This window comes from Homo sapiens, chromosome 1 (assembly GCF_000001405.40).
Source record: "Homo sapiens chromosome 1, GRCh38.p14 Primary Assembly".
Taxonomy (NCBI): Eukaryota; Metazoa; Chordata; class Mammalia; order Primates; family Hominidae; genus Homo; species Homo sapiens.
The window spans coordinates 169043413-169061701 of NC_000001.11; the positions used below are offsets into that span (position 1 = coordinate 169043413).

Genomic DNA, 18289 nt, shown 5'->3' on the forward strand with positions numbered 1-18289 from the left:
TTGGAAAGAAAAAAGAATAGTAGTCAGAATAGGTCTCATTAAGAAGGCAAGACTTGAGCACAGACTTGTGGGAGGTGAGAAAATATCTGTGGGAGGGGCCTCCTGAAAGAGGGAAAGGTTAAAGCCAAGACCCTACAATGGGAGCGGGCCTGAGTGTTGAGGAGTGGCTCCAGGCCAGTGTGGCTAGAGCAGCACAAAGTGTAAGGAAGAGTGGTGGGCAAAAACTCAAAAAGGAAACAGCAGTCAGGAGATGCACGGCCCTAGTGCGCAATGTAAGGGCTTTGACTTTTACTCTCAGTGAAAACTATGACAGGGTTTTAAGCAGAGGAATAACATGACCTGACTTATGTTTTAGAAGAATTACTTTGAGAATAAAATTTCCAGTGGCAAGTAGAGAAGCAGGCTAACCTAAGCAAAACCCACTACAGGGATCCAGGTGGCAGATAGTGGCTGAAAGCCAAATTAGAAAGAGTTTAAGAGAAAAAATGGCACAACTAAGAGATTAGCACAGCTCTTGACTACAAAGCTGCAAACACAAAATTCAGTGCAGGGCCTGGAGAGTGCTCATGTGAGTGAGGGGCCCTGATGCTTAAGCTTTGTCAGCATCTGTGCACACCCACCTCTGTACAAGCCAAGGCCCCTGGCCTGGTCAGTTGGGTGGATGGTGAGGTGCTTACCAAGTTGGGTACCCAGGAGTAGATAAGAGTTTGCAAGCAGGAAGAAGACAGATCATGCATTTCACTGTGAGATTTTTGAGATTCAGAGGTCAGTGCAACATCTAAGTGAAAATGGCCAGGCTCTTTCTGCTCCTAACAATACTGCCAAGAGCTATCAGGATGACCTTTCTAAAAGGCACATCTGATCAAGTCACTTTCCTGCTTAAAAACCTCAGTGCTTCCCTTTGCCCATATTCCTTTGAAAAGAAACAGTTTCTCACAGTCTAGCCCTGGCCTGTCTTTCCAACTATGTCTTCCTCCATTCCATGCCTGGCACACTGTTCCCTCTGACTTGCAACTCCCTCTGTCTACAGTGTCCTTCTCTAACTACTAAACTCCTCCTCTCCCTACACTGCCCTGATCTAATAACTTCTGTGAAACCACGTCCCCTCCTGCACCTTCTTCAAGGCAGGACTAACCACTTCCTCTCTGCTGACTTAAAGCCCTCTGTACACAGTTCCATGAAATCTGCACCCAGAAATGCGAACCCATAAGCCTGAGAGGCAGGGTTGACAGCGGAACAATTATGGGTTTTAGAATTAGATTAACCTGGGTTAAAACACACACACTTGCTTGCTGTATATAACTTTAAGCATGTTATTTAATTTCTCTAAGCTCAGCTTCTTATAAAGGTAATGCCTATTTTGTAGAATAGGTGTCAAGATTAAATGAGAAAATTTAAGTAAATCACCCCAGATAGGACCTGGCACACAATAGGTGTCCAAAAATTATCATTTCCCTCCAGACCCTGTTCCTCTTGGGCAGAAAATGTGTTTAATTTATATTCTATATGTCCCATTGTCACTGGTCACCCAGCACATAATAGATGCTTGATAGACATTAACCTGAATGAATGGACCCTGTCTTCTCAGAAACATTTACATATACGTTTTAGAAGTACATGGGTTCAGAGGTTAGGATAGAAATTCTAAAGTGGACCTTGGCATGTAAATCCCCTTGGGTCTAATATCAAACCAATTGCTTCCCCTTGGCAGCAGCAGCAGAGCCCTTCTGTGTCTCTGGGGAGCATTCAGCCATCCAGTCTGTGAAGATTTCTCTCATTGCTCTCCAGAGCTTCCGTTACATCGTGCTCTTCTCACTTCCTTCTCAGCTGTGCTCCCACTCCTCAGCCTTGTTTGTTCTGTTTTCCTCCGCCATTTTTCACCACACACCATATGGCCTTCCCTTGCCTGCCTTAAGCTTGGAACTTCACAGCCTTCTCCAGGCTTCCCCAGGGCAACCTGGGCCCTCTGGGCCTGCTGACCACCCCCTTTAACTAGCAGCCCTGCCCTGATGCCTACTTTGAAACCCAGCACTGTTCCTAAGGAGACGCAGGACACAGAGCCTTTTAGTAAATTCACTTCAGGGGCTGGTTCTGCCAGTTAACTATGAGCCTAGAGTGTTTTGAACAGGTGGTGATCTTCCAAACACAATGTGATCGTGTGTTTAATCTTAGAATCATGAGAGGCTAGTAGGGCAGATACAGAAAAACACAATTTTACCTATTTGTTTCAACCTCCTCCAGCATCCAGTGAGGCAGCCTCCTGGTGCAGAGGATCCTTGACAAGCTCTGGAGTCTCGTGGACACAAGTTTGTGTCCCAGCTCTGTGTCTCCCTAGCGGTATTGTATGTATGCTTCTCAAGTTCTCTAAACCTTAGTTTCTTCATTTGTGAAACTAAGATAACAATACCTGCCACACAGAGTTATTAGTTGATATCATGCGTTTATTTGTTATCTAGCAATACATAACAAATCAGCCCAAAACTTAGTGCCTTGCAAGAGCAATGCTGTTTATTAGCTCTTGTGGGTTTTGTAGGCCAGGAATTTGAGAGCAGCTGAGCTGAGCTAGTCTGAATCGGGGTCTCCCAGGTGATTGAGGCAGACTGGTCAGTGGCTAGAGCTGGGGTCAATTTCAAGGCTTCTTCATTCACAGGTCTTGTTCCCATGCTGGGAAGACAAATAGCTGGAGCAGGGGCTGGAGCAGCTGTGGCTCCCCAGGCACCTCCCTCTATCCCTTTGGGACCCACCACATGGTCCTTCTGCATGGTCCCTTCAAGGTCTCCAGATTTCTTATGAGGTAGCTCAGGGCTCCAAAGGCATGTATCTCACTTGAGAGAGAAACAGGTGAAACCATATCCTCTTTTCTGGCCTGGCTGGAAAGTCACACAGTGACATCACTTCCATTGCCTTCTATTTATTAGAAGCAAATCACTACCACCAGACTGTATTCTAGGAGAGCAGAATTAGACCGCTCCTTTTATTTGAAATAGTGCCGAAAATTTGTGGACATGCTTTAAAAACACCATAGTATGTGTGATGCCCAGTCCTCAATAAGTAGCATCAATTTTTTTTATGTATCAGGTGAGTTGAAAAATAAGACAAAAAAATGCCTCTGTGCCCTATCATTCCTATCTTCACTCTCCACAAACACACTCACCATGAAACAAGGTGAAAGCACTTAGCAATGTAGGCAAAGGTAAAAAGGAAGCATAAAAAGGGGAGGCAAAAACAATGATCGTTGACATTTATTGAACACTTGCTCTGTGGCAAGCCCAGTGTTATATGCCTTACGTACATTATCTATTTTAATCCTCAGAATGATACCAGGGGTTTATCATTAACCTCCTTTTATGGAGAATTCTAGAGTCTACCAATATTACATGCATTATCCAGGATTAGACAGTTTAGTAAAGACATAACAAGGAGTGGAACACAGGCGAGCTGACTCCAGAGCCCTTGTGCCCAACCGCTGTGCACACTACTGAGATCATTTCAGCTGAGATAAGCAGCTGGGAAACCTTTGGCTTAACTTTTCCCTCCCTTGGAAATACCAATTTGAGAGGCAGGGTACCTAAGGGAGCAGGTGGAGTAGAACCCAATAATTCAAAAATTCTTGAGTCTGGAAAGACAAATGCCAGGTTGTTGTTGATGAGAAGAGAGCACGAGAAGTAAAGGACTGCCAGACAGCCAGGTAGCAGGGAGGCTGGGATGCCTGGCCCCACTCAGCCACTTACTGGGCTCTCCCCAAATGCTTAGCAGAGAAGGCCTTGAACAGTCTAACAAGGGTCTCTTCCACCACCACTGTGCCAGCTTAGCTATCTCAAGTTTGTGAAGTTTGGCACCACCTCCTACTTCTCCTCCCACCAGGAATAATTCAGGGGATTCCCCACAGCCTCTCCTTCAGGATGTGGAAACCACCCCACTTTGAGTTGACAGGTGTCCTGAAACTTTGCTGGGTGATTAAACAGGAAGAGATTGTTGAACAGGGACTGAGGAAAATCTCGTCATCAGATTCAGTCTTCCTGGTAAGGACTTGGGTGAGGCACTAAGGGGATGGAGCACAGTTTTCTCCAGGGTCCATAAGAGCATCATGCGGCTCAGACCCTGGACCCAGACCCACGGAGGTTCTGGCACAGGTAGAGATGAGCTGTGGTCTCACTCGGGGCTCCTGAGAACTAGAGCAATGCCTCTTGCAGTTGGCCACACTTAGGTCCCCACCACTGCCTCCTCCAGCATTTCATTCCTTGGATGCCTTCTGAGATCCACTCCTGGGTGTCCAGGGCCCTGTCTTCATTTGTTCCTTTCCATCCCTGTTGTCTGAACTTGTTTTAGACTATAGTTGCCCTCAAAGTACTTTCTTCTCTCTTATTCTAGGATAGCCTTCAAAGTATCCTTAATTCAATATATTCAAAGTCCATCATTCAAAAAATATTTATGAAGCACATACTATGTGCCAAACATGGTTCTAGGTACTAGGGATTCTGCAAGAAACAGGATAGGCAAAGTCTCTGGCTTCCCTGAGCTTATAGTCCAGGGAGCCTTAACAAAAGGAGAATTCAGATTTCACCAAAAAATAGCCTAGGTGGGTGGGGGCAACACAGGAAAAACATTCAAAATAATGTCAGTAATTTTCCTTTTACATCTAACTGAAACTGCAGCCTGCCAGAGTTTGTGAAGCATAATGGAAGTGAGATGCCATCTCTGGCACTGAACGACGGCCTGCAGCAAGTCACTTGGCCTCTCAGCCATCCTACAAGGGCCACCTGTGCAGTCTGGAAATTCACCCATACAGACCTTACCTGTGGCAGGAATGTGGTCTGTGCCTGGCTTCTGTCATCACTCACTGCCTGGACTTTCCAGACAGAGGATTTGTGGGAGGGGAAAGTTGCTACAATCTACCCAAGATACTTCCTCTTGCCTTGACCTCTCCCCGGTTTGCAACAGTGATCTCATGGACCTTTGCAAGCTCTGTCCACAGATTGCTTCTGGAAGCAGGTACTTGGCTGGTTGGTATCATGTGGGGCACAAGCCTTGCCAGGGGTTGGCGTAGCCTCACTTTAAATTGAAAATGTACATGGTAGGAAGCGCCAAATAATTGAACTGTTAAGTAGATAAAAGAGGAGTTTTACATTAAGAACAAGACATTTTAAAAACTAGAATGAAAATTTCACGCGAATTTCAAAGTTTAAGAACGTAGGAAGTCAAATAAATTTCAGCTTTTTGACTGGCAGCTTTAGGCTTTGCCCCAACCAATTCTACAGGGGATTTACTTTCCCTCTCCTCTGCCCTACATTGTAGATTGGTTTGGAAAGTTCTGGTAAGAGACCTGCACTCCGATGGTGCCCTTGCCTTTACAATAACCTCTCCCAAATGCTCTCTAAGAAGGGAGAGGCAGATGGGAGCGAAAGAGGCAGCTTCGCTCAGCTGTTAGCATGCTCTTGTAGCAGCAAACCCAACTAGAAGTGGCCCTGAGCAACAAGGACAAATTATTCTCTCTCACAATAAGAGCTTCCAAAGTAAAGAAGCTCCAAGGTTGCTTAAATGAGAAGCTCAAAAATGTCATCAAGGACGAAGATTCTTCCCATTTTCTCTCTCTGCCATTCTCAGCTTGTTGATATTTGTTTTTGTAGTATCCAGACAGTCAAGCATTATATACACACACAATGATAAGGGGGGCAGAAAGAGAGGGAGCAGTCCTACCTTGAATCCTTTTTAAAAAACGAGAAGAACTTTTCCAGTAGGTTCTGCCACCCTAGCAGATTTCCCTTCATATCTCACTGGATGGAATCATAGCACAAAATTACAAGCAGCAGGAATAGAATTTTTGTAATTGGCTTATCCAATCCAGATTCTTCCACCTCCTAGAGGTGCCTATCCCTGAAGAGTGTGGCCACTGATACGTGAGCCAAATCAGGGTTCAGTTAGTAAGGCAGAGTGCAGTGAATGGCTGTCGGCAGCCATGCAGCCACCGGAGTGTGACCTCAACACCTCCATCATCCCCCACCCACCATCACAAAGAAATCTATGAGAAAGCAGGGTGATTAATGGGGGAGAAACAAATGTCAAGTGGCTTTCTGTTCCTGAGATGAAAGAGCTTTGTTATGCTTTTGTTTTTAATCATCTGGTTTATGCAACACTTCATTAGCCAAATCCATTAAGTTGCTTTCCAAATTTGGAAAAGTTTTGTCAGCTTGGAAGAAAGCAGCAAACCGAGTTCTGCTGAAGCCTGACCTCTTCCACTGAGCAGGTTATGGGTATGCCTCCCCACTGAGTGGCTGGGCACACACTTGTATGCCAGGGTCACTGGAAAGTGTAATCAGAAGAACAGAACGTAAAGGCTAGGTCTTAGTGCTCATCCACTCTCCTGAATGCTATGCATCTCATTACACAGAGAAGCTCCTGGAAGAGCAGACAGGAAAGGGCTTGCCCATGGTCAGGCAGCAGAGTGGCAGAGGCAAGAAGGGAAAGCCATGTGGTGTTCATCTGTTTTCACAAAGCCTCTTAGCTCCAGCTTGGGCCCACCTGGCCAAAAAGCCTTCTTACAACTCTACAAATACCTTCAAGTAACAAGAGTCCCATATAGCAGACCACAAGAATAGGAAACGAAGCTGAGAGGCAGATGTGGGGAAGGGAATTGGGGTGACCTTCCTGAAATATAAACATTCCCAAAACCTACAGAAAGTGGGCATATCTAATGTAGGAGTTGAATAGAAGGAGCTAGTTCATCTTCTTTAGCTGAAGTGGATAAGGTGCAAGACACCAAAGGAAGGAAAGAAGTGAAAAGAGCATTTAATGATCCAGTTAAAAATAAATATGATACTAGATCCTAACAGACAAACGTGAGTTTAACTACAAAAAAAGAAAAGGCCTTTGTTCTTGCTTCACATTCTCCATAGATCTAGACAAAGCTGCCCAAATATCTCACAGGCTCTAAAAACTTCCTTTCAGAAGTCCTACTTTTTATTATATCAAGCATATTAAGATACAGACATATCGCACATTTAAAATAATTGATATACAACAGAATAAGAGTTCTGTTCAATTTCTTTTCTAATTGAAAATAAATGTTTCATAGACATTAACTTAAACATTCATTTCTTTTTTTATATTGCAGTTTTCTGTATGTTTTGTGTTTACATTTTCACCATGTCTCACATGTCGCAAATATTTTAACAGGCCCTTGAAAAGATATAAACCCTAGACCCTATGCTTACAGCATCAAATGGATAAAATGAGAAACCATGGATCTTTAGACCCTGTAACTCCACAGAGGGAGTGGTGGGAGTTGAATTGAGCCAGGCACTCTTAACATCTGTCACTTACCTTGGCAGTATGACTAACTGGACTGATTCGCATCTACGTAATACTTTGTAGCTTACCCAGATCTTTTGTGTATCTGACTTCATTTGATTCTCTTCAACAGCTTAGGATATAGACACTAAATTAGTTGTATTGATGATAAAATTTTCATTTACAGTGATTAACTTGTTCAGCGTCATGCAACTAGTAGGTGAAGAAACCCAAGTTTAGAGGTCTTACCTCTCTAAATAATCATCTGCCTTGGATCACAACAAGCTGCCTTCAACTCTTTGTTGACAAACATCTCCTGAGTTTTCTCCTTTGTGACTAAGAAGGAATGAGCCATCTCAGGGTCTGAACCCTTTGGATAAGTTATATTGGAGGAGGAAGCCTGAAGGAGAGATGTCACAATGCCTGGGATAACAAGAAGCCCACTAAGGGATAAAGGAGGATTCTGTCTTGGTTTATTTGAGCTGCTGTAACAAAATACTACAGGTTGGGTAATGTATAAACAATACAAATTTATTTATCTTGGTTCTGGAAGCTGAGAAGTCCAGGATCAAGACACAGCAGCATTAGTGACTGGTGAGGGCTGCTCTCTGCTCCCAAGATGGTGCCTTGTTGCTACAAACTCCAGTGGGGAGGAACACTGTGTCCTCACATGGCCGAAGGGTATGAGCATGCACCTTTCAACCTTTGGCCCTCTCTTAAAGGTGCTAATTGCATTCATGAGGGCAGAGCCCTTGTGACAATAACTTCCCAAAGCCCATACCTCTTAATATTATTGTATTGGGGATTAAATTTCAAAGTGAATTTTGGAAGGGACACCACGAAATAACAGTAACTCCAAATATAAACCAAAGAAAACACCCTCTTCTGGGTGGTATTTTTAACATGCCAGTAGCTGAGTGGTTAGAAATACAACTCAACACTCTGACCCAAGGCTTGAACCCCAGGAAGGATGAAGTCATTTAAGAGGGCTGATCTAAGACAGCACTTGAGGTAATCAGCCTGTTTTCTGTAATGGCTGTGTTGACTCCAAAAAGCTGTAAGGCCTGTGTCTGTGACAATGTCTTGTCACATAATAACCACCCCATCCAATGTCTGTGGAACAAAAAACTGAATCATGGGTGAATAAAACAGGGGCCTTCTCCCAGTTCATCAATTCCACTCCCAGATGCTGCCATTACCTACAATACCAACAATTCCAGTGCCCATTCTAGTGAAAACAAAACCAGAGAAAAATGAAAATCTATTGTGCATGGCAGAGGCTGGGGAAGGATTTTTGGCACAGCTATATCTAGGAACACACCACTAGACTTTTCTTTAACTAAAGACATGACTGTACCCTATATAATCTCTAACAAGATAGTTGAGATCTTTCTGACAGACCTTTCTGACTCCACCAAAAGGAGTTTGAGACCCTTACTTCCAGGAGAAATGGGGTCAACTAGGTGGAATGGGACATTATTGGCTGGCATTCATAAAGTCCAACCTGTTCATTCCAATAGAATGAAATTGAACGTCTAGCTCTAAGGGAGGAAACCACCCCTCATATTGTCTTATGCCCAATTTCTGCCTCCAAAGAAAGAAAAAGTGAAAACTAAAAGGCAGAAATGAAATCCACAAGCAGACAGCCTGGCACCACACCCTGGGCCTGGTAGTTAAAGATTGACCCCTGACCTAATCAGTTATGCTATCTATAGATTACAGACATTGTATAGAAAAGCACTGTGAAAATCCCTGTCCTGTTTTGTTTCGATCTAATTATCGGTGCCTGCAGCCCCCAGTCATGTACCCCCTGCTTGCTCAATCAATCATGACCCTCTCACGCGCACCCCCTTAGAGTTGTGAGCCCTTAAAAGGGACAGGAATTGCTCACTCGGGAAGCTCAGCTCTTGAGACAGGAGTCTTGCCGATGCCCCGGCCAAATAAACCCCTTCCTTCTTTAACTCGGTGTCTGAGGAGTTTTGTCTGCGGGTGGTCCTGCTACAGCTCAAGATGAAAGGCTCAGACTCTGAATTCTGCCATGCCAGCCTGCAATCTCAGAGGCATTTAAGCCTGAGAACCTAGGATTTCTCTACATAAGTTCTGTGGAACCCTGTTTTCCTTCCTATTCCATGCTTTGTATCAAAAAGGGGAAGTATGACATGGGGACAGGCCCCACCCACGGTAATTTCAAAGTCTGGGAAATTACCATGGTATCCAGGGATCCCAGTGTTTGCACAAGTTTACTGCCAATGATAGAAGCATAGGAGAGCAGGAACAAGCCATCCTGGCTGGCTGTTCTATTCAGGTGCCTAGAATAATCCTGTGGGAAGAAATAACACTGTGTAAGCAGAATGTCATCATTCTTGCTCACCTCTTTGCTTGGCCAACCCTCATTAATGACTCCTAAGTTATCCTTCCAATCCTAATCCCTTGATCAGATTGAATTCTGGGTGTGATGTGCCAATTAGAAATCCAAAGCGGAGGTTATATGCATTTCGAGTGATTGTGCTGGTGTACTCTTTCTACCATCCCTACTATATTTTAAAGTCCTTGAGGGCAGAGGCCATCCACACGTCTTTGAAGCCACCACATCTATCACAGTGTTAGGCATGGAATACATACTCAATAAAGATGTACTTATTTTGACCGTGTGTCACTTTGGTTATATCACTGAGGAAGCTGGGTGGGAAACTGAGTCAAATCTGAAGGTTTCACAATTACTTCAATCAGAACTTCCTTTTGAAACATTGGTTCATCAAGTTCTCTTTTGAAGGGCAATTTATTATATTAATAGTGCTAATCCTGATATTGTAAATCACATACTTGACATAGCATCGTTTACAGTCAGGCACACTTCTTTCAAAAGCCTGGTGACATCATAGGAAATCAAATATTCCTCCCTTATCACTCTGCATGCAAGCATTCTTTCCTGCACTCTAGAAATGAAATTACATAGTTTTTAGTAAATGGAAGCAGGGTAGGGGAGCTGCCATTGCGAGGTTGACTTCCCACCGCATTTGGAATAAAATCCAAAGTCCAAATCCTTTCCACAGCCCCTGCCAACCTCTCCAACCTCTCCAATCTCATTTTCTTTTCTTTCTTTCTTTTTCTTTTTATTTATTTACTTATTTTTTTTGTTACAGGGTCTCACTCTGTCACCCAGGCTGGAGTGCAGCAGCAAGATCATAACTCACTGCAACCTCAACTTCCCAAGCTAAAGCAGTCCTCCCACCTCATCTCAGCCTCCCAAGTAGCTGAGACTACAGGCATGTGCTACCACGGCCAGCTAATTTTTGTATTTTTTGTAGAAATGGGGTCTCAATATGATGCCCAAGCTGGTCTCGAACTCCTGGACTCAAGGGATCTTCCTGCCTCAGCTTCCCAGGGTGCTGGGATTACAGGTGTGAGCCACCACACCCAGACCCAATCTCCTTTTCTAATTCTCTCCTTCCCCTCAATATTCCAGCCATATGCCCTGTCTTTTAATTCTTTGAACACTCAAGTCTCTTCTTACCACCGTATCTCAAAGTACAGTGTATACCTCTCCTAGATTTTTCACAACTGATTCCTTGATCCTCAGGTCTTGTTTTAATGTGACCTCCTTCCTTGACTGCAAAAGTACAGTAGGTTTGCCCCTCCATGCTTTGCCTCTTATTATCCAGTTTTTATCCTTTGAAGCACTTATTCAAATTTATAATTGAATATTTTGTCACCTTCTCTGTCTTTTTCAGACTATGAACTCCTGAGAGCAGAGATGTTTATCTTGTTCATGACGGCATCTCTAGTGTCTATCACAGAGCATAGCACCAAGTAGGACCAAGTAGGACCTGAATAAACATTTTGTGTTTTTTTGAGACAGCATCTCACTCCACCGTCCAGGCACAATCTCGGCTCACTGCAACCTCCGCCTCCCAGGTTCAAGCAATTCTCATGCCTCAGCCTCCTGAGTAGTAGTTAATAAATATTTTTTTAATGAATGAATGATCAAAGGCTTTTAGAGAGATTTATCTTTTGCTCTCTGACTTTCTTTCCTATTTGACCATTTTAGATTCTTCCTGGAGACTGAGGAGCATTGTCTTCTATTCAGAAGATTCTTCCGGGGAATATAGATAAATTGGTTTGGTGGGGGTGGTGGGAAGGTAGTTGGGTAGTTAATTGGCTCCTACCTACAGGATAAGGTATGAAATATACCAAGAATGAAGAAAAATGTGTAGAATGCAGGTTGGAGGTCACAGTGAATTCAAGAACTCAGTTGCAGGGAATAGAAATCTATCTTTACAATATAAAGGAACTACTCATTTTGGAGCTGTCCATAGCTTTGTAGGTGAAAGATTATAACCCCTATCAAATGTAGGTCATATGCCATCCCAGGGTAAGACTTATCATGGGTTGTATCATTTTGAAAAGATTACTTAGGATTTGCCTAGCAGAAGAGAGTTCCTGGGTCCCTCAGGAGGAAAATATGATGCAGACCAGAAACTGCCTTCCCATACTCCTCAGTCTATCTGAGCCCAAAGCAGGGTACCAAGGAGCCCCCTCTGGCATTCAGTGGGTGTTGCTGATGATGACCTTTTTTAGATAGCATGACTGGGGAGATTGGCCTCCTAGTCTGATTTTAACTTTCCATGGAATTCTAACATGGTAGTATTCACTAACTTTCAATGGAATCCTAACACAAGGTGTTCCACTACCAAATGTCCCAAATAAACCTCAGCTCAGCACGTGGGACAGAAGAAAGCTGCCACCCTACCACAATTTACTTTCCCTCTAAGATTCCTATTTTCTTTCTTTCTTTCTTTCTTTCTTTCTTTCTTTCTTTCTTTCTTTCTTTCTTTCTTTCTTTCTTTCTCTCTCTCTCTCTCTCTCTCTCTCTTTCTTTCTTTCTTTCTTTCTCTCTCTCTCTCTCTCTCTCTCTCTTTCTTTCTTTCTCTTTCCTTATTTTTAAATTTGAGACCGGGTCTCTCTCTCTCTCTCTCTCTCTCTCTCTTTCTTTCTTTCTCTTTCCTTATTTTTAAATTTGAGACCGGGTCTGCTCGGTCACCCAGGCTGGAGTTCGGTGATGTCGTCAGAGCTCACTGCAGTCTCGAACTCCTGGGCTCAAGTCATCCACCCACCTCAGCCTCCCGAGTAGCTGGGTCTGCAGTTGCTCACCACCATACCCGGCTACCTTTTTTTCTTTGAAATGGGCTTCTAGGCATGTTGCCCAGGCTGGCCTCAAGCTCAGATTCCTATTCTTGATGGTTTTAGCTACTGCACAGTTGTCTGGCAGTGATATCACTGGGCTCTGTGGCTTCTAGCAGTGCTGAGGGAATATTCACGCAACTTAACCCACTCCCTGCTCCATATCACTGTCCCATAGTAGGCTAGCAATTCATTGTTATCACAGATCTTCTGCCTAAAGATCCTAGCTCTTCCATATCTAGACCTATTACAGGTAAGATTGATGAATAAATGCTTCATTAATCTCTTACCTTTCATACTAACCTGTGATCTTGTGGAAATTACTCCAACTCTAGATGCTTCAGTCTCCTTATCTGTAAAATAGAGATAATATTAGCATCTACCTCACAGGATTAATTACTAAGTGAGCTATTATATAGAAAGCATATAGATGTGTTTAATAATAATTAATCCTTAATAAATGTTAGCTGATTACAACTAGTAGTATTGTATCATTTTTTCACAGTGAGCTCCTAGAAGGGAAAGAATTGAATTCATCCATTCCTATGTCTTAGGGGCCTGATTCACACTTGACAGACTGAAGGGCTCAACATATATAAGTTGAATTGAATTAAACTCCTCTGACATTTATTGTCTGCTCCATTCATATGCTGCTTGTCACCTAGTTGCTTTCTCTGACTTTTAGCATGCAAATCATATAACTCCAACTGAGCTATTGTTTCCTAGAAGTACAGGATAGCTCATTCACCTTTGTGTGTCTTACACCAACTGGCTCATAGTAGGTGCTTAGTAACTCTTCACAGCCTTAAACTGACTACAATTCTGAATCCTGATAACAAGGATTCTATCATATAGAATATGTGTAACAGCAGCTGGCATACATGCATTTTAACTCCAATAATACTATAACTTAGCAGTGGGAGGAGATGTCTAAAGCATCAAGGTGCCAAATTGGGACTGACATACAGTGGTGGGGTTGGGGAGGGATTGCCTAAAGGCTGGACTGTACAGTAGACTGTATGTTCCTTGTGGGCAAAGACCATGTTTCCTTCTTTCTCAAGCATCTTGCCTGACATACTGTATGCACCCAATGACTGTCAGTCCAATTAATGAATTTATTCGTGTTTGAAATCCCAACAGAGGCAGCTCTCATTGCTCCCTAGTGTCAGATGTGTGCTTGCCAGCATGCCCCTACACCTGGGTACAGTGCTCATTTCTCACCCTACTCTCAGTATTACACACTCTCCATCCCTGGCTAGTGTCACACGCATCCATGTGAAGAGCAACAAGGCTGTTTATTTCACCTGGGTGCAGTGGGGGCTGAGTCTGAAAAGAGAGTCAGCAAAGGGTTGTGGGATTATCATTAGTTCTTATAGGTTTTGGGATGGGCGGTGGAGTTAGGAGCAATGTTTTGCAGACAGGGTGGTCCATCTCAAAGTACATTCTCAAGAGTGGGGAGAATTACAAAGAATCTTCTTAAGGATGGGGGAGATTACAAAGTACATTGATCAGTTAGGGTGGGCAGAAACAAATCACAATGGTGGAATGTCATCAGTTAAGGCTATTTCCACTTCTTTTGTGGATCTTCAGTTGCTTCAGTCCATCTGGATGCATACGTGCACGTCACAGGGGATATGATGCCTTAGCTTGGGCTCAGAGGCCTGACACCTAGATCTTTACCTCAATCTCAAGTTGGCAAGATGAGTGTCACACTTTGACATCATGTTTGTGCAAAAATTGCTGCAATCAACTAATGCCTACCTGGCTTGAATCTCTTCTTGGTATCCAGAAAATCATCAGCAATGAATCCCATCTCCTGTCACATGGGAAGAGATCTTTCTTTGCTACCTATTGAATGTATTCTCTTTTTGAATCAGCTCAATCTTAGGAAATAGTTTTCTCATCAGTAGCATGTTTTTGAAGAATATTAGCAGAGAAGCTTCTTCAGGAGACAGACCAGCCAGAACTGCTAGTCAAACATGGCTGCCTTCTTTCTTTTTTCATATGTGAGAAAGGAAGTATTTTGACTTGGTGCTATGGTTTGGATGTTTGTTGCTTCCAAACATCACATTAAAATTTGAACATCAGTATTAGAAGTGGAGCCTAATGGAAGGTGTTTTGGTCATGGGGGTGGATCCCTCATGAATAGAGCAATGCCCTCCTTAGGAGGCGAGTGAGTTCTCACTCTATTTGTTCCCATGAGAGCTGGTTGTTAAAAAGAGCCTGGCACCACCAACCTTTCTTTTGCTTCCTCTCTCACCATGTGATTTCTGCACGTGCTGCCTCCCTTTCATTTTCCACCATGAGTGGAAGCCCCCTGGGGCCCTCACTAGATGCAAATGCCCAATCTTGAGCTCTATAGCCATCAGAATTGTGATCCAAATAAACCTTTTTTCTTTATAAACTACCTAGTTTCTGATATTCCTTTACAGCAACACAAAATGGACCAAGACACTCAGCTTCCCAGGCAACAGCAACTTTCCAAAGTCTGTGGAAGATAATTTGGGTAGCAAATGATAGAAGATCTAACCAAGAGTAGCTTAAACAATAAGGACATTTATTATTGTGTATAACATGAAGTGTGGAGGTAGAGCAATTTCAAGGTGGATTAATTCACTGACACAGACACAGTATGGATCTAGCTCAGCTATTCTGCAGTTTTCCTCCACAGTCTCAAGATCTGCTGTGAGTCAGGTCTCACATGCTATCAACAATCTTCAGAGGCAGAAAAAGAGAATGTCCCAATCTTGTGTCCCTCTACAAGATGTCCCCTTATCTTTCCTTGTCAAGAATCAGCATAGTCTATCCCTAATTAAACAATCACCAGACAAGGAAAGACCACCATAAATTGGCCTAAACCAATGAAGATTTACCTTCTATGGTTGGGTAGAGACTAAATTCTTAAAAAGAACATGACCCCTCAGAGGAGGGTTACTAAAATCACGGTTTTGATAGCAAGGTAAAAAGGGGGAAATAACTCCCTGGTGGGCAACCAACAGTGTCTGCAACAGAGAAGGTTGGACCTCTAAGTAGTAGGTAATGAGTAAAATTACTCCAATTTTATGCTTAGGAGAATCAAGCCAATGTAAGACAAGGACCCTTCTTACTCAGAGCTACAATCTGGTTTCAGAGATAAAGCCTTTTCAGGAGCATTAGCTCAAGATGATTTTACAATCATTACCCATATAGGCTGCAATAGAAGCAAAGCACTACCAAAATCTTCTAGTATAGCAAATGTCCAAGTAGGCTCACTAATGCAAAGCAAACAAAATCTTCTTGTAATGCTAGGTCACAAGGTTTGTACACATCCTAATCCAGATAAATATCAAGAGTGAAATGGTAACATTTGGCCTCAGTTTCAATCTCTGTTACAAAATTGACCAATGCCTTCCTCTGGAGAATAGAGTATTTTTTTTTTATGGACCAAAACACACAATTCACAACTTCCCTGGAGACTCTGCTAAGGTTTTATAAAGATTTAGTTTTTTCTTTTTCTTTTTTTTTTTTAACTTGAAAACATCTAATTCCTTGTGAAAGAAATAGAAAAATAGGTAGGAGAACTGTTTGACCCTGAAGACATGCCAATAAGTTTCCCTCACCAAGATTTATATTAAACACAAAATTTGATGATCAAATTGTTTCTACACTTGTGACTCATTATTCATTTACTTAACCTTAGGCTGGCCATTCTCTCTCCCATTCATGCTCTCTGAGGTCTGGCAGGACCAGAGGTGCTAAAAGCTCAGGTCTCCACTGCTTAGTATTCTCAGAATGGCCAAAAGGGAGTCATTTGGGCTGAATTATGTTCCCTCTAAGAGTCACCTGCTGATGATCTAACCACTGGGACCTCAGAATGTGGCTGTATTTGGAGCTCGGGTCCTTTAAAAGGTGATTGAGTTAAAATTAGGTCATTAGGGTGGGCCCTAATCCATTTTGACTATTGTCCTTATAAGAAGAGGAAATTTGGACACAAAAAGAGATACCAGGGGCACACAAAGGAGAGACCATCTGAGGACATAGCAAGAAGGCAATGATCTGCAAGTCAAGAAGAGACGCCTCAGGAGAAACCAAACCTGAAGACACCTGGATCTTGGACTTCCAGCCTGCAATACTGTAAGACCATAAATTCCTGTTGTTTAAGCCAACCAGGCTGTGTATTTTGTTATGGCAGCTCCAGAAAATGAACACAGGGAGCAAGAGGGCATAACCTCAGGGAGCGTCCTTTGATTTCTCTACCTCCTCCACCCCAGGAAGTCCTCTCCATTTAGTCCTACCTTTACACTGCAGCTGGCCTTCCGCCAGCTGTGGGGCCCTCCGCCCATGATGAATGCAAACTGACACTCAGATTCCTCAGCGATGAACACCGAACACTGTCCACATTACAAAATCTCTTCCTTCCCTGACTGTGTTTCCCTCCAGAGAAGACTAGGGTGTGTTCTGGACTAAGGCCACAGACGCAAATTTTCCCTAGAAGAGCCTGGAAAAGAAGCAGTAAGTCACGGAGCTGCAGTTAAGTTATAAGAAAACTCACCTGAAAAAACAGCCAGGGGTTTTCACAGGGCAGGCCAATTACGTAAAGCACATCTCCACTGTGTGTTGTCTTAAGATAATGAGGCTCCTCACCATCAGCAAGAGCTGGCTGGAAGCAGAGGGATCAGGTAAGTGAACCTTCAGGAGGACTGAGTTTCAAATATGGGTCCCTGCCAGACAGGGATTGTATGTCCTCAAGTAGATGTCTCTCCCTGTGACCCACAATATCAGCAGCGTGTGGCCCTTTTCCAGGGAAGAGAAGTGGAAATACCCACCTATAGTTAGGAACTGGGGATTACTATGAGAGAAGGGAGGAAGAAACACAGTGTCTAAAAATTAGCAGACTACCAAACTTAAAAGTCCTGCTCCACCATTTATTTACTAACTACACAGCTTGAACACATTTTTCAACATCTCTAAACCACCATCCACTCATTTTAAAAAATGAGAAGACTAGTAGCTATCTCAACAAACTGTTGGGTGGAATTAAATAAGATATTATAGTAAAACTAGCAGATTATAGGGTATATAGGCAAGTGAATAGCAGCAGCAACAACAGCAATAGGGTTGGTAGTTATTAATAAAACAAATGACCAAGCAAGATTTAGCATTTCAAGAGCTCTGACACAGGGCTGAGCTCTGCACTTCTTGGTGATAATAGAAGTAGAAAGGAGGAAGTCGAGATGTGGGTGAGGAAGCTGGGCCAGGTCAGAAGGTCCTTCCGGAGTGGAGGAATGTTGAGTGGAGCCAGGGTTAGATAAGATCTTGAGATAGAGGGGGAGGTTGTAGGGAAACCTTCCTGTGGTATGGAAGTTTCTCCTCTCTTTTAGTTTAGTATGTTAATGAAATGAGTTAATACTCTCCGCACTAGAAACAGTCAAGTTACTTCATCTCAGAAATAATCTCCCCCAGGAACTATCACACTTAAAATCATAACAACAAAACTACCTCAGACACATCCCAGGGCAATAGTCCAAGGGACAGAACTCTCAAAAGTACTAGAGCCTGCTATTTTGAGTAGATTGAAAAGTAAGAGCCCCTCTAAATGAGGTCAACAATCAGGCCCCGTGTCTCAGAGCTCTTCTAGCCAAGAAAGTCCATCTGGAAAGCAAGCAACCTGGAGAAACCAAACCACCCAGACACACACTGACCAGCCCAGCATCAGCAGTGTGCTTTGGTTTCTTCTCAGACTGAAAGCTGGACTAGGGAGACAAGTGCTAGAAAATGAAACATAAAGCATGAAGGGTATTTTTTTTCTCCGTTAAAAGAACATTCACACGGTCCCTAGTGT

The 18289-nt window shown here is 43.2% G+C and overlaps 1 long non-coding RNA gene across 1 annotated transcript in view, besides 3 other annotated features; it reads right to left on the reverse strand.

The window, feature by feature from the left end:
- LINC00970 (long intergenic non-protein coding RNA 970) overlaps positions 1–18289 on the reverse strand; it is a 183101-nt gene that overhangs the window by 139508 nt on the left and 25304 nt on the right. The window contains exons 2-3 of the long non-coding RNA NR_104091.1: positions 17000–17107; positions 12772–12821 (exon numbers count right to left, since the gene is read on the reverse strand). This is a non-coding gene — a long non-coding RNA (long intergenic non-protein coding RNA 970). The remainder of the gene's footprint in view (positions 1–12771; positions 12822–16999; positions 17108–18289) is intronic.
- Positions 947–1206: an enhancer, noted in NCBI's record as "active region_2067". NCBI's record gives its function as "activates an Ori minimal core promoter by ATAC-STARR-seq in GM12878 lymphoblastoid cells {active_cell/tissue: GM12878}" and the evidence as "EXISTENCE:reporter gene assay evidence [ECO:0000049][PMID:35858748]".
- Positions 1759–1888: an enhancer, noted in NCBI's record as "active region_2068". NCBI's record gives its function as "activates an Ori minimal core promoter by ATAC-STARR-seq in GM12878 lymphoblastoid cells {active_cell/tissue: GM12878}" and the evidence as "EXISTENCE:reporter gene assay evidence [ECO:0000049][PMID:35858748]".
- Positions 9289–9505: a silencer, noted in NCBI's record as "fragment chr1:169021939-169022155 (GRCh37/hg19 assembly coordinates)". NCBI's record gives its function as "represses an EF-1alpha promoter that drives an FKBP-Casp9 reporter gene in an ReSE screen in both phorbol 12-myristate 13-acetate-treated (for megakaryocytic differentiation) and untreated K562 erythroleukemia cells {active_cell/tissue: K562 | K562(+PMA)}" and the evidence as "EXISTENCE:reporter gene assay evidence [ECO:0000049][PMID:32094911]".